Genomic DNA, 22,302 nt, shown 5'->3' on the forward strand with positions numbered 1-22,302 from the left:
TGTTCTTAGCACACTGGTTGGAAATCGTTTGACCACAGACATGACAGGTTATTTCTGAGCTCTCTGTTCTGTTCATTGCTCTACATGTCAGTCCTTACATCAGTGCCATAATAGTTTGATTACTGTAGCTTTGTAATAAATTCTGAAATCAGGAAATGTGTATCCTCAATCTTGTTCTTCTTTTTCAGATTTTTTTTTTTGCTGTATGACTAATGTCCCTTGAAATTCCATATGAAATCTAGTGCAAATTTTTTTATTTCTGCAAAAAATGCTGTAGAGATTTTGATACAGATTACATTGTTATCTTAACAATATTATTATTGTGCCTTCTGATTCATAAGCATGCAATATCTTTCCATTTATTGTGTCTTTAAATTCTTTCAGCAATGTTCTATAGTTTTCAGTACACATTTCTTTAGCTTCCTTGTTTAAATTTATTCTTAAGTATTTTGTTCTGTTTGATGCTATCATAAATGAAACTTTTTTGGTTGATTTTCTATATTTGGATTGTTCACTGGGGGCTTTTCCAACCAGTACATTCTCTCCCATTTCCACTCTACACAGTGCCCCACCTAACCTGATCAGCCACCTGGATGGCAACAAAAGCCCCACATCCCAGGAAGCTCCTCAGTCCCAGGCAGATGGGGCTGGGTGGTCACCTTATGCTGACCACTCAACTGGTGAAACTCATGACCTCGGATGATCCAGTGGCCACTGGGGGTGTACCCCAGCCTCAGCTGTGCTGGGGTCAGGAGAGCTTGTTAAGAGCCTGCTGGGAGGCTGGGGGCGGGGCAGACACTTGCCCATCGGAGAGATGCACTCATCTCCCTGACCCACATCTCCTTTTGTTTTAGGTCTGGCAGCGTGAACAATAACTGGATTGACCTTTATATGTGGGTGGAGGAAACAGTGGCGAGGTTCCAAAGGTACAGATCTCTGCATGGCAGCCTCCCCTGAGCTGCAGAGAGCTTTTCTTCTGGAAGGCAGGCAGAGGGCACATCCCATCAGATGGGGTGGGCGTGGGAGTCCTTCAGTGGGGGACACAGAGCACAAGGTGGCATTCTGAAGCAGGAATGAGGCCAGCACTCACTGGTTCCATGGGGTCTCAGCGGCCTTGGCTGGCTCCTGCCTGTGAGCCCAGACATATTGCAGGGGAGGCAGTTTGCCCTTGGGGACATCACACGCTGGGAAGGGACAATAGGCAGGGAAACCAGTGACTCAGTCCTGGAACTCCGAGTTGCTGAGGGTTCAAGTAGGGGGCAAAGAACTCCGTGGAAGGTTAAAGGAAAAAACAGGAACTCCTAAGGACAAAGTCAAGGATGGCTTCCAAGGATGTGGGTCTTTGAACTGGGTCTTGCAGGATGGAAAAGACAGGGGACCTGTGGTGGCGTGAGTGGTCTGACTTGGCTGGGAATGAGATTAGCTCAGGGAGGGCTGGGAGAGGGCTGGGCAGGTCAGCTTGAGGCCAAAGCCACAGGGGCTCATTATGCCAGGCCAAGGAGCTGGGATTTCCTGCTCTGAGCCATAGAGAGCCAGAGAAGGCTCTTGAGCAGGGGAGTGGCATGATCAAGATGGCACTTAAGGAAGAAAAGTCTGATGACTGTGGGTAAAATGAATGGGCAACAAGGGCAGGAGCCATGGGGAGCTCCGCTGGGGACGTATGGCAGCACTGTCGCTGAGGGCCACTGAGGGTCAGCCGGCAGGAAGGAGGGTCAGGGAGAGGAAGGGGAGGCTGTGTGCATGGCTGCCAATAGGGAGAGTCACTTGTCTGAGATGAAGGAGGGATGACGGAGAGGAGAGGGAGGAGGGAATGGGGTGAAGAGGCAAAGAATTTTCCAGTAGAAGGGAGGCCAGCTGGGAGGGCTGTATGTGCATCTCCCTGCCTGTTCATTATAAGGTATGTGTGTCTGTGTGTGTGTGTGTGCAGGTGCCTGAGTGTGGGTGCCGTGTGTGCGTGTTCATATGAGTGTGTGCATGTTCAGGTGCATGTGTGTGGGTGCATATGTGTGTGACTGTGTGTGTGTGTGAGTGTGTATGCATGTGTGTGGGGGGGTGTGTATACCTGTGCGTGTGTGAGAGTGTGTGCGTGTGTGCCTGTGTGTGTGTGCGTGTGTGCCTGTGTGTGAGTGTGTGCGTGTGTGCGTGCATGTGTGTGCATGTGAGTGTGCCTGTGTGTGAGTGTGTGCCTGTGTGTGTGAGTGTGTGCCTGTGTGTGGGTGTGTGCGTGTATGGGTGCATGTGTATGGGTGCATGTGTGAGTGTGTGTGTATGCATGTGTGTGGGTGTTTGTGTGGTGTGTGCACCTGTGTGTGTGTGTGCCTCTGTGTGTGCATGTGTGTGCATATGTGTGTGAGTGTGTGCCTGTGTGTGCGCGTGTGTGTGTGCAAGTGTCTTTGGGGTGTTGGGAGTGTGGGGATGCAGTGAGTTGCCATCCTGACTCTCCCTTCTATGGAGCCCTTGTCTCCACAGGCCTCAGAGTCCTTCACTACATTTATCTCACCTCCTTGTGTCCAGCAAGGGGCTCCAAAGCGGAAGAGTTGGGGTGGGAGGTGGGGAATTGGCCTCACCACCTTGGCTTCTGAGCCTGTGCCACTGGCTTCTCACCAGCACATGATTCCTTCACAGCCCAAATATTCGGATGTGCTTCATCACCTACTCCACAGACGGCCAGACTGTCTTGCCACTCACCTCAGACAAGTGAGTGCTGCTTTGAGCCCCAAAGGGAGGCCTGATGAGCTTGGCCAGAGGGAGCTCCAGGGAGCTGAAGGGCTCCCGGAGACCTTGGTTGGGAGCCTGACAGCACACAGGGCAGGCCGGTCAGGGCAACTCACAGTACCCACCTGACCTTAGCCCCGGCTCCCCTGCATCCTCCTACCCATGGCTGCAAGGTTACCTGCAGGCCCCTGTGCTCCAGAAGTTCTCAGCCTCCCCCACTTCACGCTCCCCTGCCCTCTCTCCGCTCTGCCTCCTTCCCTGAAAGGTGGCTGTGAGGATTCCCAGGGTGCAGGGGCTGGCAGGGCGGGGGTGTGTGTCCTGTGAACACACACCTGTGCTGGCTGCTGCTCTGTGCCTGTTCCCCCTGCCCTGACCAGTGTGGGAGGGAGACAGGGTCAAAGCTGGTGGTGGGAGTAGTGGGGCTTTAGTGCAGGGATGCTGGCAGGCCCAGACTGGGGAGCCCCTGGGTGGGGTTCTGAGCTCCAGGGCAGGCTGGGAAAGTGGAGGGAGGCAGGAGGAACAAGCTCAGGAGGCTGGAGCCCAGGCCCAGCAGGGAGCACAGCAGAGTTCCTGTTTGGCCGGAGGTGAGGGCACTTCCAATGCACATGCCCGGAACTGGGCCCAGAGGAGATGAAGCACAGAAGAGAGGTGAGGACACTGAGGACTGGATGGGGGACTGGGCCCCACTTGCAGTTTCGAGGGAATACAGAGTAGGGGAGCTTGAGTCTGTGTGTCCTGCGCTGTGGGTTTGTCAGAGAGACTGGGTGGGTGTGAGGTGGTAAAAAGCAAGTCTATGGGGGAGGACTGTGGCGAGTGACCCAGACGGGGAGCGGGGTTTGGGCATGGCCAGAGGAAGGCCAGGGCATGGCCTCTTCTGGGTATGGATGGGTCTGGCCTCCTCCCCTCCTGGGCTGGGCAGGCAGGGCTCTCAGAGCTCCGGCCATGGCAGGGACTCTCTGCCCACAGTGGGAAGCCATCCTTCAGGGTCCATGCTCTGCTCAGCCTTGCTGTGCAGGCTCAGCCTGTCACATTGAATTAGCCTGACCCTAAGTCCCCAGCCTGTCCCAGTCCTGCCACCAGAGCCAGTCCTGACTGCCCCAGCCCATTCTGTCTGCTTTAACAGCAACTGACAGGCCTCATGCCCCGGCCAGTCCGCAGATCAGTGTTCAGCCCCTGCATGCACAGCTGTCGGGGCTGCCTCTCCAGCCTTTGGTCTTTTTGTTTCAGGGGCACAGAAAGTCAAGGAGGCCAGACACTCTAAGCAGATTTGCTACTTCCTGTATCAGGGTAAAGATAGAGCAGGAAACTGAGTCAGGGTCAGGGGTCTGGGGTCATTGGGCTGGGTGCAGGGCTGGTGGCTTAGCAGGATGACTTTTCCCAAATGCAGCCCTACCTGTTAAAGGACGGAGTGCCCAACACAACAGCGTCCTTGTTAGGGTTAGAATTTGGATTAGAGTTAGAGTTAGAGTTAGGAATGTCAACCCCATTGACAGTGGCTGACTCTCAGTTGCCCATCCCTGGTTCAGGGTTAAGGTTAGGGTTTGGGTTAGAGTTAGAGTTAGAGTTAGAGTTAGAGTTAGAGTTAGAGTTAGGAATGTCAACCCCATTGTCAGTGGCTGACTCTCAGTTGCCCATCCCTGGTTCAGGGTTAAAGTTAGGGTTTGGGTTAGAGTTAGAGTTAGAGTTAGAGTTAGAGTTAGAGTTAGGAATGTCAACCCCATTGTCAGTGGCTGACTCTCAGTTGCCCATCCCTGGTTCAGGGTTAGGGTTAGGGTTAGGTTTAGGAAAGTCAGCCCCATTGCAGTTCCTGACTCACAGTTGCTCATCCATGGGAAACTCCTACTGTCACCAGAGATGGTCCAAGCAGGGCCCTGGTGAAGTTCCCCAGGCCTGCATTCTCTGTAACTCGGATGAGCTCAGAAGGGCTTGAAATCTCTGGTCAAAATCACAATGAGGAATGAGGAGGACAAAGCCCTTGCCTGGGCCCCTCCTTCATCCAGGAGGACTGGCGCAAAGAACAGTGGCTCCCGGAGAGCTTGGGAGCTGATTTTTAACAGTCAATGTCTTTCCAGGTCAACCACCTTTTTAAATTTTTTTCAGGAATAGAATAAAAAACGGTCTTGACCAACTTCAGAAAATTGTGCCTGACGGTCACACATTCATGCAGGCAGGATTTAGAAAGGTATAGACCCCTTGATCTCCTAACCCTAACCCTAACCCTAACCCTAACCTACAAAATCTTAGAGCATCAGTGGGAGCATCTCACTGTCCAGGCTCAATATTTCTTCATTTTCTTGCAGGCAATTCAACAGATCGAAAGTTTCAACTCCGGAAGTAAGCACCTGCCGTCCCCCTGGTGGTCCTGTAGGGGGAACAGAGCTGGGTGTGAGCCTCAGAGAGCTCTGTGTGCAGAATCTGCAAGGCCACACCTGCCCTGCCTCTTGGAGCAAGTTGCTCACCTGCTCTGAGCTCCAGGTCCCTCCCTGGTGCAATGAGCATAGTAAGCCCTCACCCCATGGAGTTCTGAGAACTGTGTGGGATCCTGCGTGTGCAGTTCTGGTGCTCATAACCCTGAGGTGCTTGCCCTCCAGCTGGGCTGTGTGAAAAGGACAAGGGAAGAGCCAAGGGGTTTGCCCCTTGCACACACCTTAGCCTTCCTCCTCCCTTGCATGTCTTCCCTCCGAGTGACTTGCATCCCCTGACCCTGTCTCATATGGTACAGAAGGCTGTCCAGGGCCCCCAACTTCCCTCCCCACTGTGTTGCTGCAGCTCTTGTCAGGAAAAGGCAGGGCTGGAGAGGAAAGGCGTTGAGGTGGCTGTGGGGTCCCCTGCCCAGGTGCCACTGGCCTGGAGTCCTGAACTCCTGGGCCCAGAGATGCCGGCAGGGCTGCCTGCAGGCTCTGCTTACAGCAAGACCTGGCCCCCTGGGAGCCTCCCTGAGCCTGTCTGTTACAGGAGGGCCCAGCAGCTCCTCCCTCTGCCCGTGGGACAGGCCTGTGGTTGTGGAGTCCTGGCTGGAGCTGCCCTCAGGCAGAGGTGGTGCAGGTCGCTAGTGGGTGAGGGTTCAGGCAGCCTGGTGTGAAAGACCCTGCCCCTCTCAGCCCCTTCTCTGTAAAATGGGTGCTGGGCTGAGACCTCCCTGACTCTAGGAGGTCTCTGGGTGGCAGGTGCTTGGGTCTTGGCAGCCTCTCCTCTGGAGGATGAGGTGGGGGCACGTGGCCATGCCCTGGAGTGGGCAGCGCTGTGGGCCCAGCCATCTGCAGGGGTTCCGGAGCTTCTGGAGGTCACTCCTGGTGCCTTTGCTGAGCAGGCCACTCTTTGCTTCTTCTACAGACAAGGTTCCCAGCATGATTATTGCTATGACTGATGGAGAACTGGTGGCACATGCATTTCAGGACACTCTCAGAGAAGTGAGTCCAGTTCATACTTACCAGCATTTTGCTCCATGTATTTTGATGACCAATATGCAATGCCTTCTTTCCCTTAGGCTCAAAAGGCTCGGAAACTGGGGGCCAACGTTTACACCCTGGGTGTGGCTGATTATAATCTGGATCAGGTAATTCCAAGCAGGTAACCAGGCGCCACTTTCAAGCCTAGTGGTCACTTTCGAGCCAACCGTCCCGGGCCACCCCAAGGACGGTTGTCTAAGCTGCCCCAAGTGAGTTGGGCCAACTCATGGCCACTGCAGAAGTGATTGACAGCATGTTGTATAAATCCCACCATGCCAAAGGGGAGGGTGGAAGAGCTCCCCGCTCCCTAAGAGTGGGCTGCTGGCTGGAGAAGTCTGTGACATTCAGAGCCTGACATTCTGCTGCCCCCAAAGCATGAGGGCAAGACACTGTCTCCTGGGCCGGGGGTCTGCTGCATCCTCACCTCCTGGTGGGGAGTCCAACCCAGCTCTGCTCTCTGTAGATAACAGCAATTGCAGACAGCCCTGGCCACGTGTTTGCAGTGGAGAATGGCTTCAAGGCCCTGAGAAGCACCATTGATGCCGTGAGTGGGCAGAGGTGAGGGGCTGGGGACCTGGATCCTTTGGCAGGAAGCTCACTCTCCCTGTCCCGCCCCACCCCTCCTGTGTTCCAGCTCACGTCAAAGGTCTGTCTTGATGTGACATCGGTGGAGCCTTCCTCTGAGTGTGTAGGAGGTGAGAGCTGCGGAGGCCCTGGGGTAGCCAAAGGGTGGTGTGCATGAGTGCATGCGTGTATGGAGTGTGTGCATTTGTTTGGTATGTGTGGGGGAGGATGTGTGTGGGGAGTGTGTGAGTGTGGTGTGTGTATGTGGTGTGTATGTGTTTGGTGTGTGTGGTATGTGTGTATGTAGTTTGTGTGGGTGCAGTATGTGTAGTATGTCTGGGAAGTTGTGCTGTGGGAGGCTTGATGTGTGTGAAATCTGCGGGAGAGGGTAATATGTGGTCTGTGTGCTGTGGAAATGTGTGTGAGATTGTGTGGGGTGTGTATATGTGCTGTGAGTGTGGTGTGTGTGGGGTGTGCATGAGTGATGCATCTGTGTGTGTTGTATTGTGGGGTGTATGTTGTGTGGGAGCTGAGGTGCTGTGTAATATGCATGTGGGGGTGTGAGTGTACGTAGGGAGCATATATGCGTGTGTGTGTGTGGTGTATGTGCACTGTGTGTGTCTGGCATGAGTGGGGGTCTTGTGGGAGTGTGTGGGAAGGTTGCCTGGTGTGTGGAAGGCTGCTGGTGTGTGGGAAGGGTGTCTGGTGTGCAGGTATGTGGTGTCCAGTGTGTGTTTGTGTCGTATGGGGAGTTGGGAGTGTGTTGCTGATGTGTGTGGTGTGTGTATGGGATGTGTGGTGTGTCTTTGGTATTTTTGGTGTATGTGTGTTTGCTATTTATGTGTGTGTGTGGTGTGTGGGTGTGTGTACTTCGGGTGTGTGGTGTGTGGTGTGATGTGTGTGGTATGGGGTGGGTTGAGTGTGTTTGTGGTCCAGTGTGCATGGGTCGGTGGGAGTGGACATGTGGCCCACATGGATGTGAATGTGTCTATTGGTGTGGGGGCAATATGCGGGGGTGGTGGTGTGAGTACCTTTGTACAATTAGTGTGTTGTAACCTCACAACGGTAAGTTTAACTCTAAAGCAAGAAAAGACATGTGTGAGAAGCTCTCAGGGAAACACCAGCAAATGGCATGGAGTAGCAGCTAACCCAGACCACAGGGCAGGAGCAGCCAGGGCTCCTCCCAGGAAGGCCAGGCAGGTGCAGGAGCTGAAATGTCTGTGTAATTTACCACATCAACAAAATAGGAAACAGGAACCAAGCGGTTATCTCAGGGGATGAAGAACAAGAAGTAGGGGTGTCAACATCCCACAGCACCCTATGAGCAGAAGGAAACTTCCATAGCCCGACAAAGTCGTCCACACAAACACCCTCAGCTCACCTCAATCCCACAGGATCAATCCCAGTGCCTGTCCATGCTGTCTGAGACGTAGCGAGGATGCCCTCTTGTCAGCTGGGGTCCCAGTATGGGTTGTGACAGTCCTGTGTGGGCCTCTGTGATGCCTCTGTCTGTCCTGAGCTCTTTCTGTGTAGGCTGGGGGTCTGCATGGCCGGCAGTTGCACAACTGCGGCTGCTGGAGTTGAAGGGAGCCCTGGGTGTCCTCCCTTCATCACGAGAGGACATTACTAGGCCCTTAGCAAGACCACGAGGCATCCAGCAGCTGGGCTCTGGCCTCCCTGTTCCTCACTGCAGGGTGTCCTGGCGGTAGGCTGTGGGGACAGACACACCGTATATGTCTGAGCTCTGCTCTCCATGGGCACACGACCAGGAGCAAATTGTCCAATGTCAGTGAGCTCCAGAAGTGCCTCCCATGAACAGAAAAGACGCTGTCAGGCCTCTCGTGAGTCCAAAGGCACTGGGCTGTGCAGGGACTGGCACAGGGCTGGGAGCTGGCAGGTCCCTGAAACAGGAGCTACGCTGACACTTCCATGATTGGTCCTGGGCTCTGTCCCCGACCCCGCCTCTCCCCCATGCAGAGCTGAGGGCAGGGGTGGAGTAGAGAGGGCTCTCCTCCCCCTCGGGGTCTCTTTCTGTTCCTCCTGATTTAAAGCGGCTCAGCCGTGCAGCCAGTGTGACAGCTGTGCTCCTCTGATGATGTCCCCTGGACACGCACAGCCTGTGGCGTCTGAGCAGCCCTGTCAACCCCAGGTGAGGATGTGAGTCTTCACTCCTCCCTGGAGGCAGCTGAGTCGAGGTGGCAGGTGCCCTCTGCCCACCAGCTCGGCCTTCTGCCTCTGCTCACGTGGCCCGGCAGTCACAGCCCTGATCTGTCAGCTGTCGGCTGAGTTGTGCAAAGCTGCCCCACATGGAGGGTGACAGTCACAGGAGGGAAAGGGCAAGGCAGGAGCCTGAAACCCAAATGCAACAGAATGAGCCCTCTCAGCAGGCTGCCACTGAGAAGCCAGGAGGTCTCCAGGGAGCCCAGGAAGGAGGCCAGGGAGGGAGGCATGCAGCCCAGACTCCCCCTGTTTAGCCCTGGGCCTCCTATCCAGCCTGGGAGAGGCCTCTGGTGGCCTCACCGCTCAAGGCCCATCCTGAGCCCATCCCCCACACATGGCTGGAGGGTTTTGACAGGCATCTCCCTCTCCAGCCTGGCAGGAGTCTGAGGCTCTTAGCAGAACCCCCAGGCCCTCCAGGGTCCACTTCCTGTTCTGGGCGCCCTGTGCAGAGGTGGGACCAGGTGGAGCACAGGCACTCTGCAAGCCTTGCCTCACCTTGAAGGGCCGAGCCCACCTGTCCTTCACAGCCCTGTTCAAAGGGCACCTCATCCTGGAAGCCTTCCCTGATGACCAGCCCCTCTGACTCCCTGCAGCCCAAGGGCTTGGTCTGTCCCTCTCATCAGTCACTTGTCACCCAGGGTGTATCATGACTTCTGGTTGTCTATGTCTAAGCATAATTTTCTTATTTAGTTCTTTGGTTTTCTTCCACCCTTTTATTGTTGAAATTTTCAAACCTGTAGGTGAGTGGAAAGGATTGTACAATGAACACAAACACATCTCTATCCACCACTGGGATTTTACAATGAATGTTTGGCCATGTTCCTTTATCTCTCCCACCCCCCCTCTCTCTTCATCCATCCACCTTGAAAAAAAAAAAATGCTTGCTTGCAATACATAGTCCTAACACAGCCCAGAATGTAATTTGCAATTATCCTGTCCATGGAGCTTTGGGGCAGCACTCAGCCCTGCTTAGAGTGGCCAAGTTGGGCTGACCAAGGGGCGCAGGCCACAGGCCCAGTTGCTCCCTCCCGGGCACACACTGAGCCTAGTGTCTGGCTGGCCAGGGCTTTTTGGAAGCCTGAGTGGGGAAGAAGTTGCCTGGCAGCATCAGATTTGGAAGCAGCTGCTGTCAGCCTTAGCTGTGGGAGAGGACCCCAGGCTTGCCCTGAGGGGCCCATGTCTAGTTGCTCAGAACAGGGCACCAAGTTGGCATTTCCTGCTGTCTCTCACAGCCTCAGTGCCCCCACCAGGCCCAGGCTCTTCCAAGGGCAGCATAGTATCCATCAAGTGGGTGACTACGAGAGCCAGGCTGGCACCTTGAGCAGGAAGAGTAGGCCAGGCCCAGCTGGCTGATGTCAGCAGTCAGCGTTGAGGGCCTTGGAGTGAGGTGGGCCTCGGAGCTCCTCATCTGAGGAGCATGGTTCCCTAGGTCCCAGCCAGGAGCTGACATGGAGAAACACAAACCCACTAAGGCCTGCATTTCCCATTTTCCAAGAAAGCTGGAAATCTAGATATTTGTGGTTAATGTTCAGGCTTTTAACTGCAGGCTCCCATTTTGAAAGCCTCAGAAAGCATGTCGGTAGGCCAACTTCACCCACAGCCCGCCTTGAAGGTGTGACACTGCAGAAAGGCAGGAAGCAGGGTTCACAGGAAGCTTTCCTTGGGTGCATGGACCGGGGGCGCCCCAAGCATCAGCAGGGATTGGAATGCGTGGGGCCTGGGCCAGGAGGCAGGGGTGGAGGCCAATGCCCTTGGCAGCTGCAGACCTGCGGGAACCCTGGCTGGCTCCTGGGTCCAGCCGTCACCTGCATGTGTCCCCTGTGGTCTTTGGGTCAGGGCAGGAGCTACAGTGGTGGAAGGACACACTCCTTGAGCCTCAGGATGGGTGCCCTGTGGTCCTTGCTGGTTCAGGAAGAGCAGAATATGAGAAATCACCTGTAGTTCTCTGGAATCACAGCTAAAACAGGGCTTCTGTGATGGATTCCCTTGAGCAGGGTCCTAGGTGGCTCGCCTGCCCCACCTGAGTCCTGGCCCTGATGCTGTGGGTGTCCTGCCTGCCACAGGCACACAGAAAGACAGGGAGGAGAGACCTCGAATGTTCAGCAGCCCTGAAGGAGGCATCCAGGCCTGGGTGCCCAGCTGAGGCATGAGACATGGTGTCTTCAGGCAGCATTATGGCTCCGCTTACACCTGACATCAGGGAGGGCCTGGCTGAGTGCACGGCCTGCACACCTGGGGCCGAGGGAGCACCACAGATTTCAGGGCAGGAATACCACTCTGAGCCTGCCCTGTGCAAGGACCAAGGCCTTTCCTGAGCGTGTTGGTTCAGGAATGGTAGGGAGAGGGTCCTTGAGTGTGCTTAAGGCCCAGCTGCCTCCTCCTGGACCCTCAGTGACACCAGATGAAGATTTGACCTAGTGGACACATAGATGTTGGTTCAGACACAGCTCTTTCCTTACAGGAGCCTCTGTGAATTCGGTTTTGGGGGTGGATCTCCAGGAATAGGGAGGTCAGAGGGGAGGCAGCCCCCTACTCTTCCTCACTCAGCCTTTTGAATGTTGTCCTTGCAGAACCCTACCATGTGGTTATTCATGGAAATGGCTTTCAGAATCTAAAGAAACGGGATGAAGTTATTTGCAGATTTATCTTCAATGAAAGCACTATCATTGGTAAGTTGTCTCCTCTGTGCCTCTGAGTCACGTATTTCCCACACAATGCTGCCTTTCCCCACAGCCAGCCAAGCCTCCCAGCCCTTGCCAACCATTCCCTGTGGACCCTGTGGGGTTAGAGGCCATGAGGACAAGTGGAAGGAGGCACTGGGAAGGCCGGTCACCCCTCCCTTCATCTGCCAAGTGGGGAAGTAACAAATCCATCTGTGCCTCAAGAGCATCTTACATCAGGGCTTCCCACTCAGTGAGGCTGGGTTTAGGACTGGGTCTGCGATCACAGCTGCATCTGCCCACCTTAGCCTCAGTTTCCCCTTCCCTTGAGAGCCCAGGACCCAAAGCCCACAAGGCTACTTCTAGGAAATGGTGGCAGCCCCGGAGATCTGAGCCTGAATGGCCAGGTGCACCAGTAGCTTGCCCAGAGGGGTATGTTTACCTTGCACTGAGGGAGGATGCCAGCCTGTAGGCCTGGGCCTTGGAATCCTGGCTCAGGCACACATTGCCTGTGTCACCTTGACCAGATGAGTGTTCTACTCTGAGCCTCTATTTTCTCAATTTAACATGGAGGCAATATGGTGCTGGCTATGTATCCTTTAACTGAAATGCTTGGGACCACAGATATTTTAGTTTTCAGATTTTTTCAGGTTTTGGAACGTGTGCAGTATACTGATGTTTCAGCATCCCAAACCGCAAATTTGAAATCTGAAATTCTCTAATGAGCATTTCTTTCGAACATCATGTTGGTGCTCAAGAAATGTCAGATTTTGAAGGATTTTGGGTGTGGATTTTCATGTTATAGATGGTCAGCCACAGTTACACCTAAGTAAGCAAAATCACATGCGTAGAGCAGTTGGTTCATGGAAGGGCTATAGTATTTTTTTTAAATCTCCTATTATTTGGCAATAGTTAGGCATCAGGGAACCTCTGTGATGGTGGAATGGCCTGAGGAAGCGCATAGTCCAGGCAGACACTGTGCCCTGGGTGCTGGGGGTGGGGTGTGCTCTTCCCCACTGAGGGCCTGGGGTGCAGTTGGATTTTTGCATCCTCCTTGATCTTCCCAGGTGGCCCCTTGATACATTCATTTGATCTGATGTTAGTATGTTCACTGAAATCTAATTCCAGGGCCATATGGTAATCCCAGGATGACTTCTCTTCCCCCAAGAGGCTTCTTGACCTTTTTCCTCCTTTCCATGAGTACATAGGAAGGGGCTGAGCCTGTCATCCCCACATTCCCACTCATCAGCATTGTGTGGATGGTCTCAGGGAATTCAGTTTTCATTGGGTTATACTTTCTTGGAACTGTCTTAGGGACTGAGCAGCCCCTTTCTAAGGAAAGCTAATGCTTACTGAGCACTTATATCAGATATCGTGCCAAGTGCCTTATGCACACTATCTCCTTGAATCCTCAAAGCAGCCTTACAGAAAGTCTTTGTATGTGTCAATCAGAACAACAGAGAGTTTCTCTCTAAAAGAAAACAGTATTTATTCAGGAACGGTGCCCGGCACTGGGAATGTGTGTGCCATAGTAATGTGCATAATCAGGGAGGTAAAGAAGACATAGGCTTTTAAAGGAGAAATGAAGATTAGGGAATTGTTTTAAGACCATTACTCTTGCCTAAAAAGATCAGTTACAAGGGTGACACTAGTCCAAGGCTGGACAGGCAGTTCTTGGGCACATGTTCCTGTAGAAGTATTTTTTTGTGTTAAGTCTGCAATGGCTTTTGTGCAAGGTTGTGGTTTTTGCAAAGTCTTTTGTGATATTTTTGTTATCAGGCATATAGGCATAAAACCCTCTCTTTGTAGCCTTTCTTAGCCCTATTTGTCATGGATTTTATTTTATTTTTTAACACAAATGACTCCATTTTAATTCTGACAACTTTCTCATATGGATGGAGAGCTAGAGAGAAGCATGATGGAAGAGCCTGCCCAGGGCCATACAGTCCATGTTGCAGGGCAGGAAAGCAGACCCAGGCGATCTGCCTTCTGCCTCCCTGTGGTGGCAGCTCCTGGGAAAGGGGGTACCCAGCCTACCTCCGTGAGTGGCATTCAGCTGCCTCCTCTGTGGGCCTGTGGGTGTACTGGCTTCCCACCCTGGAGCTTACCATCTACATCTCCATACACAGGCCAGCACCGACGTCTCACAGTGGGGAGCCCATGCCACAGCTGTGAGCACCTGCGTAGATGGCCATTCTGCTCCTGGTTGATGGCTGGCCCAAGAGTAAAAAGAAACTTATTTTTTAAAATAATTGAGAACAACCTTTAAACCTATTTTCACTAATAGGAAGAGATCCCCGGAACATGTCCCTGGAGTGTTGGCCACCACTGAACACGCCTCCCCTGCACCCCCAACTAGATGGCAGTGTGCCTTCCCTGGCGGCTGATGCCAGCCTGGAGGTGCAGTTCAGGGATCTCTGTCCTGCATCAGTCCCTGTAGGGCAGCAGGGGCAGAGCCTGGTTCTGGCTTCTGGAAGCGCCTGGATGCAATTTTTGACAACTGAAATAACAAACAGAGAGAGTGTCTCTAAACAGAAATGCTATTTATTCAGGAACAGGACATTGCAATGGAAAATACATGCCAGAGTAAACTATGTGCATATTTAGGGAGGTGGAAAAGAAAAGCAGAGAAAGCCTTTTAAAGGAAAATGAGGAGGATGCCATAATTGTTTTGAAATCATCCTTGGCAAAAAAGTCAATACCACGGGTTCTGCCAGTCCTAGGTTGGCTATGCAGTTAATGGGCCCTGGGAAGCCGGGGTCCTGGCAGCCGAGCCCAGTGGGTAGAGAGCTGGAGCCAGGCCAGCAGGCAGATGCAGCAGGGCCCACGCCCTCTCCCGCACTTCAGGAGGTGTGAAAAGGGTGTGGGCTCAGGAGTGAGAATGTTCCATGTCTACACATTACCGAACTCTCCTGAGCCCACCACACTCCCACAAAAATGAGTAAATAGATACATAAATAAACAAAAATTGGAAAACAAAATTACAGACTTGAAAAAAAAAACCCAGTCCCCTCCTCAGGCTTCCTCATCTTGGTAAATGGTGTCGCTGTCCACCCAGTTGTTCTGGTCAAACACTCAAATGTCATCTTTGACTCCTCTGAGCTTCCTCTTCACATCCATCCCACCAGCAAGTCCTGTTGCCTCCATGTGCAAAATACATCCTGGATCTGCCCAACCTGGACAGATTCACTGCACAAGAAATAAAACCCCAACCCCTTTCCAGGGCCCACAAGGCCCTGCCCCCTGTCCTGGGTCACCTCTTTCCCTCCTTGACAAGGTCAGCGAGTCACTGCCCAGAGCATTGGCACATGCCACTCTCTCAGCCCCAAGCACCTTTACCTGGGATCTTTGCCTGGCTGGCTCCTCATCTTTTTAATCTCAGCTGGAATGTCACCTCTTCAGAGATAATTTATCATTCATGGAAGTTTGCAACACTACACAAAATAACAAGAATTGTGCAATGAACTTAAAGAAGCCATCACCTACTTTCAATAATTCTCAACCTGCCCCCACCTGCTTTCCTTGGAACCCTTACCACAGAGTATTTTGAAGCAAATCCCTGGCCTTGCATTATTTCATGTTCCTCTAGACCAGAAATTGTGGCTCTACAAGATAGGAGAAGTCATGCATAATGAAGCGGCTGTCCCTTCCTCTCTGGTTCCCTCACCTCCTCTGGTCATGGACATCACAGCACATTGCACTCTCTGTCATCTGTTTTGTCCTGTTTTTTATTTTGTTTTCTGTGTCCCGTGCAATCCCTAAAGGTGAGTCCTTGAGAGCAGGGACTCTGCCTGCCTGTTCCTGTTACACAACAGAGTGCTGCACAGGGCCTGGGTGTGGCGGGTGCTTGCAGGGGTCTGTGCAATAGGAAGGCAGAGCCCACATGCCGGTCCTGGGCCACAGGGTCAGCCCTGCATGCTGAGGACAGACATGGGGAGGAACAGTGGACAGACAGGTGCACTGACATTCTTCTCATGTCATTTTCTTTTAGATGAAAAGCCAACCAGTATCGACAATAATTCCATGAATTGCCCTGGGCCAAAACTAGAAAAACCTGGAGAGTAAGTGCCCCTGGCAGGAGGCTAGAGGGCAAGAGACCAGGGAGTCAGGGTTGGGCACCTTGAGGTGTACAAAATGTGGATGCCCCCCACCCCCTGCTGGGACAGCACATATCTGTGGCTGCGCAAAGAGCACCCTCCTCCCCACATCCCTTGTTAGTGACCCCCAAGGTATTCAGGGATCTGCAGCATCCTAGGGTCTGTGAGGAAGGCAGGATGCAGGAGATGATTGCCCAAGGAATGGTACCTTTGCTCCAGGTTGCCTCTCAGAGTTAAGCCAACACACTCTGTAAATACAGAAGAGCCAGGATGGTGACACCAAGCAGCAGTCCCTGGTCATTTAGGACGCGGTCACAATGGCATGAGACCCCATGCAGGGCCCCTCACTGTCTGACCCACTTACCCTTTGGTCATCATTGCTAAGTTTACCTGCAAGTGTTTGGGGAATGACCTCTCATTACCCATGCTGTCCAAGGGCAAGAACTGCATCTCTCTGGACTGGCTCTCACCATCTGCATTTTCTATGCTTTAGGGAGTACTCTATTGAAGTCAGCTTGAACAAAGGCAAAACATTCTTCAAGAGCAATGTCAGCATCACCAGCACCACATGTGTGAGTACCAGCATGGGGCTGCAAACATGTATGAGGACTGTCCAGAGCCTCTGCACTAGAAGGAGCACAGAAAAGGCAGACCGTTCCCAGGCAGTCCCAGAAAGTAGCGTGTGCAGCAGGCACCTGAGGCTGCTCCAACCCGGCTTCTGGATGGTGCAGGTGGGTGAGGCTGGGAGGCTGTCTGCCAGGAGCCAGAGTCCAGCACCTCTAGGCCAGGACCTCAGGCCCAGGAGCCCTGGAGGATTCCACACACTGCCGTCAGGGTATGTGTGTGCTGCTGAACTGGTGCCCCAGCTACTGATCTGGTCCTGAACCTGCTGATGACCCTGGCCCCTGAGCCTGCCTGGTGGTCACTTGCTGTCATTTCCCAGATGCCTTCAGCCCCCTTTCTGCCTCTCCTCCTTGCTCAGGCCCCTGAGATGTCCCTCTCTGCTCCCTCGCCAAGCCCTGTAGTATGTCCCCTCCTGCTGCTGAAGGGGAGGCTCTCAGGCACTCGGACCCGAGCTCAGCTCCAAGAGGCCCCTGGGAATGGAGATGCTGTGCCCCAGGTGCCTGCTCTTCAGAGCTCCATGTCTTTGGGCAGTTTGGCCCAGGGCCGCATAGGCAGGAGGATGTGCTGGAGGGACGGGCGGGAGGCCTGAGCCCACTCCACTGCCTTGTACCCAGTCTCACTTGTGAGGACACACCAGTGTTGAGAGTCTTCCCTCTGGGTCTATCCTTGCCTGTCCCTGCACATCCATGCATGGATCTGCAGGCTGAATGCACGCATTCCCCATCAGGAATCTACCCACTGATGGCCCAACTGTGACAGACACATCAGGAGCAGCCATGGGGCTCCCACCTCGCCAGCGGCCTTCATGCTCAGCCTCAGTGGTTCCTCTCCTTCAGCCAGCCGGGTTCCCAGCACAGGCCCCTGCCCCTTCCCTCCCCTCCCCTCCCCTCCCCTCCTCTCCACTCCCCTCCCCTCCCCTCTCCAGCCTTCTCTTAAGTAGAGCTCTGGACATGAGGAAGGCCTGAGCAGCCTGCCTTCCCACGGATGCCGCCCAAGATTCCTTTATTGCGAAGAACACCCAGAGAACTGTTCCCGTTGCTTATACCCCATGTGGCCCTGGTTCTGAGCCAGGACTTGGAGCTCTCTAAACCTCACAAGTGCCCCCAGGGAGGGCGGCTCATTCCCTTTGCACAGGTGTGGAGGCTGAGGCTCAGAGCAGTGCGTGGATGTGCCCACGGTGCAGAGCCTGGAAGTGGGGAGAGAGGCTGTGGGGGATGGACCCGGGTCTCCTGCCCCTGCTCCTGTGCCTGCACCTCCACCCTCACCTGTCTTTGTACCGGTAGATTTTGTGGTCCTCACAGAAGCCCTGTGCTGCAGGCGAGGTGTGCAGTGAGGGTGGGATCATCAGACCATGGAAGCTTCCGGGACTTTCTTGGCAGGGCTCTGGGGCAGAGACTTTCAGCAGGGCCAGAGAAAGGGTCTATAGCTCTCTGGGGCCCAGCCCTGGCCGCTGGCCCCACTGTAGTACCCGGATGCGGGGCCAGCTAGGGAGAGTGAGGAGTGGGCAGATGGGCCACCAAGTGGTGGGCACGGGGAAGAGGCCACCGAGGCCCTCCTATGGTGCTCTCTTTCTCCACCAGGGCATTTTCCGCAACTGGCTCTATTTTGTGCCACTCCTGCTGCTTGTGCCACTGCTGCTGTGTTGTGTCTGGCGGCTGTGCCGCAAGCAGGCAAGTGCTCCCTGCCCGCCCAGCTCTGGGGCCCAGGCACAGGCCCACCCTCTGAGGGACTCTAACATGTGACTGCCCCCCGTGATCCCGCCTGTGGGAAGTTTCCCTCAGCTCCCAGCTCATCACGTGAGCCCAGGGAGTCGCAGACCTGTCCACACGTTCCCAGAGCCTAGCAAGCCTGGGCTTCTGCAGGGCCTCCTGCCCCGGGCTGGCCACAGAGAGCTGGCCTGGAATGCCCTGGACATGGGGTTGAGGCCTGCCCTGGCTCCTAGAGAGAAGTGACCCCAGAACCCCTGAAACCAGGGCTGCCTCAACAATCCAGACTTCTGGAAGCCTCAGATGGACAAGGGCCAGGAGGTGGCCTCTGTGTGGAGGGAGGAAGAGAGGGGCCCCCATGAGGCCCTGCTGGCCCAAATGGAGGACGCTGTAACCCCCAGCTGTCTGTACCTTGAGGAACCAGTGTGGATCTCGGCACATGTCTAGTTCCTTCCCCATTCCTTCATCTGTCTTTACTGAGCTCCAGCTTCCCCTGGGCCCCATACTGGGCTGGGCAGGGACAGAAATGGTGGCTACCATTCCCCACAGGCAGCTCACAGTTCTGTCCTGTCATGGCTGAGGGTGAAATGTCCACCCCACAGGAGTGGGAAGGGCTCCCTGTAAGGCGGAGCAGGACCCAAAAGCAGAGATGGAGCCCGGGGCAGGGAAGATGGAAGGGGTGCTGGGAGCTGGGGTGGACGGACCCAGCTCAGAGAGCTGCAGACAGAGAACAGAGCAGAAGGAGGAGAGCGCAGAGCTCAGCCCAGGGAACACACAGGGCTCATGTCTGCATAGGGAGCTGCAAGGGGAGGAAGCCCGGGACTCAGCCATGAGGCTGGGAGGTCAGGGAGGGCTCCTGTAGACAGACAGGCTCTCCCTAAGGAAGGGAAGTGGGGCGAACGCTGTCTTCTCCATGTGGCTGTGGGCAGAGAAGGACACTTGTAGGGGCTGGGCCTCACTAGGGACCTGGTCCCTGGCCTGGCTGACCCCTAGGAACCCCACAGCGGCGGTACAGGGGTTCCCCTTTGGTAAGGTTGGAGGCTGAGGCCCAGGAGGAGGAGCCTGCCGGGTACAAGTTCACAGGCTCAGGGTGGCCAGAGTGACACCCCAAAGGCAGTGCTCTGTCCTGGTGCTCCAGGCCAGGGTCCCAGCTGTGTGCAGGGCCAAGGCAGAGCCCGCCCACCCCCATCCAGCCTGTGTTTGTCTCTTTTGAACATTCTAGACTGTCAAGGAGCCACCACCTGTGCAGAAGCCAGAAAAGGTAAGTTGCAGTTCTGGTCCCGATATTGTCACATCCCAAGGAGCCCACTGACCTTCACCAAGAGTGCCATGAAGCCTGCGCCCCATGATCTCCATCTGCTTGAGCAGAGAAGTTGACAGAGGGGCAGAATGGAGCCTGAGAAGATGGGGGACTCACAGTGATGTCCCCAGCATGCCCTTTCCGCTCCCTGCACCCCTTAACATAAGCCTTGTCACCAGTTCGCAGCCTGGGGTGGCCAGTTTCAGCAACTGTGATGATCTGTCCTGAATAAATGGGGCTCTCTGTCAAGGACCTTTTGTAAGATGCTAAGGACAGAGGCGCTCTGGAAAAGGAGCCCCGTGTTTCAGGGACCTGGCCCTGTCCCCAGGCTCTAGAGGCAGGTGTGGCTCCATTTGGCCTCTCTGGATCCATGTCTCCTGGCAGGGACGAGGGGCTGGCTGGGGTTAGCCTCTCAGGACTGCAGGGCTGAGGGATGGGGGAGTCCTGGTGGGCACCGAGCTGGGAAGGACACCAGCCCAGTGAGCACAGGGGCCAGGAGTCCGGGAACAAGTTGTGGCTCACCTGGGTCGGGGACCCACCCCAGGGGCCATGGGCAGTGGTGAGTAGCTGAGGCAGGAGGCCCTGGGCCTGGGATGGGGTGGGAACAGGCAACCCTGGCCAAGGGTGGCCTCTGCGGTGCTGCAGAGTGGTCTAGGGGAGGCTGCATCTGCAACCAGGTGGATACGGACAGTCACCTGCAAATGCTGGGACCATTGCATAACCCCCAGGGCAGGCCTCTTTCAACAAGGGCAGCCACGGGAGAACCAAGGGGACAGAGACAAAGTCGTTGGCATTTACGAGAAGAGCCATGTCTGCCAACTAGGAGGAGTTTGCGTGTTTTTCACATGAAGGACCCTCCACTGTGGTGTGGGTTTCTTTCTGGTCCTTTCATTCCCCAGACACACATCTGGGAGTGGCCAGCACTGTGCCCTGCCAGCACTGTGAGCAGACAGTTGTTTTTCTTTTTTTAGGAGCCAGAGCAGGAAAAACCACCATCACCACCACCACCGCCTCCGCCTCCACCACCTCCACTCCCGCCTCCGCCCCCAGCTCCTGTAAACACCTGCCCCACTGTGATTATTTGTTGCTGTGGATGCCAAGGAGTGGGCGGGATGAGAAGGATAGAGGTGAGAAGGGCACAGTGGAGAGGGGCTGTGACCCCAGCATGGGACTGTGGGAGGAGGGGGCAGATGGGTCCCACTGTGGAGACCTGGGCCCTGGAGGAAGGCAGGCTCTACAGGGGCTGGACTTTGGACACTTGATGTCAAGAGCAACCAGATGCCCACCTCACCCTCGTGCCCCAGTGGCAGGCATATATGAGGGCTCCTGTCCCCTGCACCACCGGGTCTGTCCCCACACATTGAACTCCCTCTCTAGAAGGATCCATGTTTCTGTACAGTGGCAGCTTTTGATGTCTGACCAGTCCCTGGTTCCCACAGGGGTGCCTCAGCTCTGGCAGTGGCCCCTGGCTTTAGACCACTTGCCTGCAGGCGCATGAGTCAAGCAACCTGAGTCACAAAAGGTCATGCAGATCAGAAAAAAAAATAGAAATGACCAGTCCTGACACATGTTCTCACCACCACGAACACTGCAAGGATGCCAGGGGCACCTGCCAGCCCGGGCAGCAGAATCTTCAGGCAGTGAGGAAAAGCTGTCACTGAGTGGGCTTGTCGCCTGCTGAGATGGGCTGACAGGTGCTGCAGGGAGGGGAGGAGGTGGAGGCCTGAAAGCGCCCTCACAAGACACCTGTGCAGGAGCTTGAGCCCCGGAGCCAACACAACAGCCACTCTCCCTGAGGAAACCTCCTTCACGGGCGGGTCCAGGGCCCATCTTGCTGAGGGGAACCCTGCCAGACAGCAGCAGGGGACCCTGCACAGGGGTAGAGAGGGCGCCTGGGTGGCTGGTGTTGAGGGAGAGGGACCCCAGAGTTCCTACCTGGCTCTGCCCCTCTCCCCCTTGGTCCTGGCTCTGTCTGTGGTCGGATCTCTTGCTTCCTCCTGGGAGGGTCAGGCTCCTCTGCAGCCTCAGTGGGCATCTGGGGAAGCCAGGCCTGTCTCTCCTCAGAGTGTGGGGCACATGTCTCCAGGGGGAGGAAGTCACCTGCCAGCGGCCTGCACTGCCTTGCAACACACGGCCCTCATCCCATCCCCACCGGAGCCCAGAAAGGCCTGACTGCAGCGCCGAGTGGCCAAGGGGCTGCCCGCCGTGGGTCCTGGGCTGCTTTCTGGCCTGTTTTTCTCTGCCTTCCTCTTCTCTCTTCCCTGGTGTCAGGTACCTACTCCCTGAGCAGGGCATGGTCCTCTCACCTGCCTTCCCCTTGTGTGCCCCAGCAGCAAGGCTCCTTCTCCCTGCCCAGGCCCCCATGCTGGGCCCCCAGGCCTAACTCATGCTCCCCTTCAGGACCTCTGCTCAGAACCACAGGCTCCTCCTGTCTTTGGACTTTTTATCTGAATCTGCCCCTGGCGTTTTCTCTTCCTTCAGCAAAATACTGTTTTGTTCTAGATTCCAAAACTCTCTGTGGCCACAGTGACCATGTCCCCAGCACACAAGGCTGCCAGGCCCCTCCCCCAGAGGGGGATGGGAGCTTTGTCTGGGTGTTTTCCTGGGCACAGAGCTGTGGGGGGCTGGGGAGTCCTGATGCCTTCTGGAGGCAGTGTCCAAGCTGCATGTCTTCCTCATGGCCACGTTGCTTTTCAGGGCAATCTGGATACCTTTTGTGACCTCTCTCACGCAAGCTGCCACCAGGTGCCATGGATGTGTTGTCAGAGCAGGGACCAGGTGAGCTAGGGCACAGGGACACAGTTGATGGACAAAAGGCCACTGCTTTTCCCCTGACCACTGTCCTCTGGGATTGGGGCTCAGAGAGCCATGTCAGGCATCTGCAAAAGAGGACGGCACAAGACACACAGAAACGGTGCCCATGGGCATCCCAGCCAGTTTCTGGACATGGCATCAAAGCTCTTCCTT

General features: G+C 55.0%; 1 protein-coding gene across 22 annotated transcripts in view, besides 5 other annotated features; it reads left to right on the forward strand.

The window, feature by feature from the left end:
* The window catches only part of ANTXRL (ANTXR like), a 44,038-nt gene that overhangs the window by 5,112 nt on the left and 16,624 nt on the right, over positions 1 to 22,302 (forward strand). For 5 of the 22 annotated variants that reach the window (XR_945612.2, XM_047424705.1, NM_001278688.3 and 2 more), the window contains 15 exons: positions 855 to 926; positions 2,626 to 2,697; positions 4,816 to 4,897; positions 5,016 to 5,049; positions 6,049 to 6,125; positions 6,203 to 6,271; positions 6,628 to 6,708; positions 6,799 to 6,859; positions 11,519 to 11,617; positions 15,600 to 15,669; positions 16,199 to 16,277; positions 17,910 to 17,999; positions 19,258 to 19,296; positions 20,307 to 20,462; positions 22,033 to 22,113. Coding sequence is in view for 19 of the 22 variants with exons in the window: in NM_001278688.3 (NP_001265617.1) it covers positions 855 to 926; positions 2,626 to 2,697; positions 4,816 to 4,897; positions 5,016 to 5,049; positions 6,049 to 6,125; positions 6,203 to 6,271; positions 6,628 to 6,708; positions 6,799 to 6,859; positions 11,519 to 11,617; positions 15,600 to 15,669; positions 16,199 to 16,277; positions 17,910 to 17,999; positions 19,258 to 19,296; positions 20,307 to 20,462; positions 22,033 to 22,113 (1,162 nt within the window). In the remaining 3 variants the exon portion in view is untranslated. The other 17 variants (XR_945614.2, XM_011539430.3, NM_001354208.2 and 14 more) reach the window with 16 other exon arrangements.
* Positions 6,564 to 7,064: an enhancer, noted in NCBI's record as "H3K4me1 hESC enhancer chr10:47669003-47669503 (GRCh37/hg19 assembly coordinates)". NCBI's record gives its function as "activates a minimal SCP1, AML or CMV promoter by ChIP-STARR-seq in naive H9 embryonic stem cells {active_cell/tissue: H9 hESC(naive)}" and the evidence as "EXISTENCE:reporter gene assay evidence [ECO:0000049][PMID:30033119]".
* Positions 8,752 to 9,330: an enhancer, noted in NCBI's record as "H3K4me1 hESC enhancer chr10:47671191-47671769 (GRCh37/hg19 assembly coordinates)". NCBI's record gives its function as "activates a minimal SCP1, AML or CMV promoter by ChIP-STARR-seq in naive H9 embryonic stem cells {active_cell/tissue: H9 hESC(naive)}" and the evidence as "EXISTENCE:reporter gene assay evidence [ECO:0000049][PMID:30033119]".
* Positions 13,766 to 14,265: an enhancer, noted in NCBI's record as "H3K4me1 hESC enhancer chr10:47676205-47676704 (GRCh37/hg19 assembly coordinates)". NCBI's record gives its function as "activates a minimal SCP1, AML or CMV promoter by ChIP-STARR-seq in naive H9 embryonic stem cells {active_cell/tissue: H9 hESC(naive)}" and the evidence as "EXISTENCE:reporter gene assay evidence [ECO:0000049][PMID:30033119]".
* Positions 17,420 to 18,025: an enhancer, noted in NCBI's record as "H3K4me1 hESC enhancer chr10:47679859-47680464 (GRCh37/hg19 assembly coordinates)". NCBI's record gives its function as "activates a minimal SCP1, AML or CMV promoter by ChIP-STARR-seq in naive H9 embryonic stem cells {active_cell/tissue: H9 hESC(naive)}" and the evidence as "EXISTENCE:reporter gene assay evidence [ECO:0000049][PMID:30033119]".
* Positions 18,026 to 18,629: an enhancer, noted in NCBI's record as "H3K4me1 hESC enhancer chr10:47680465-47681068 (GRCh37/hg19 assembly coordinates)". NCBI's record gives its function as "activates a minimal SCP1, AML or CMV promoter by ChIP-STARR-seq in naive H9 embryonic stem cells {active_cell/tissue: H9 hESC(naive)}" and the evidence as "EXISTENCE:reporter gene assay evidence [ECO:0000049][PMID:30033119]".

The sequence above is a fragment of the Homo sapiens genome, chromosome 10, assembly GCF_000001405.40.
Source record: "Homo sapiens chromosome 10, GRCh38.p14 Primary Assembly".
Classification (NCBI taxonomy): Eukaryota; Metazoa; Chordata; class Mammalia; order Primates; family Hominidae; genus Homo; species Homo sapiens.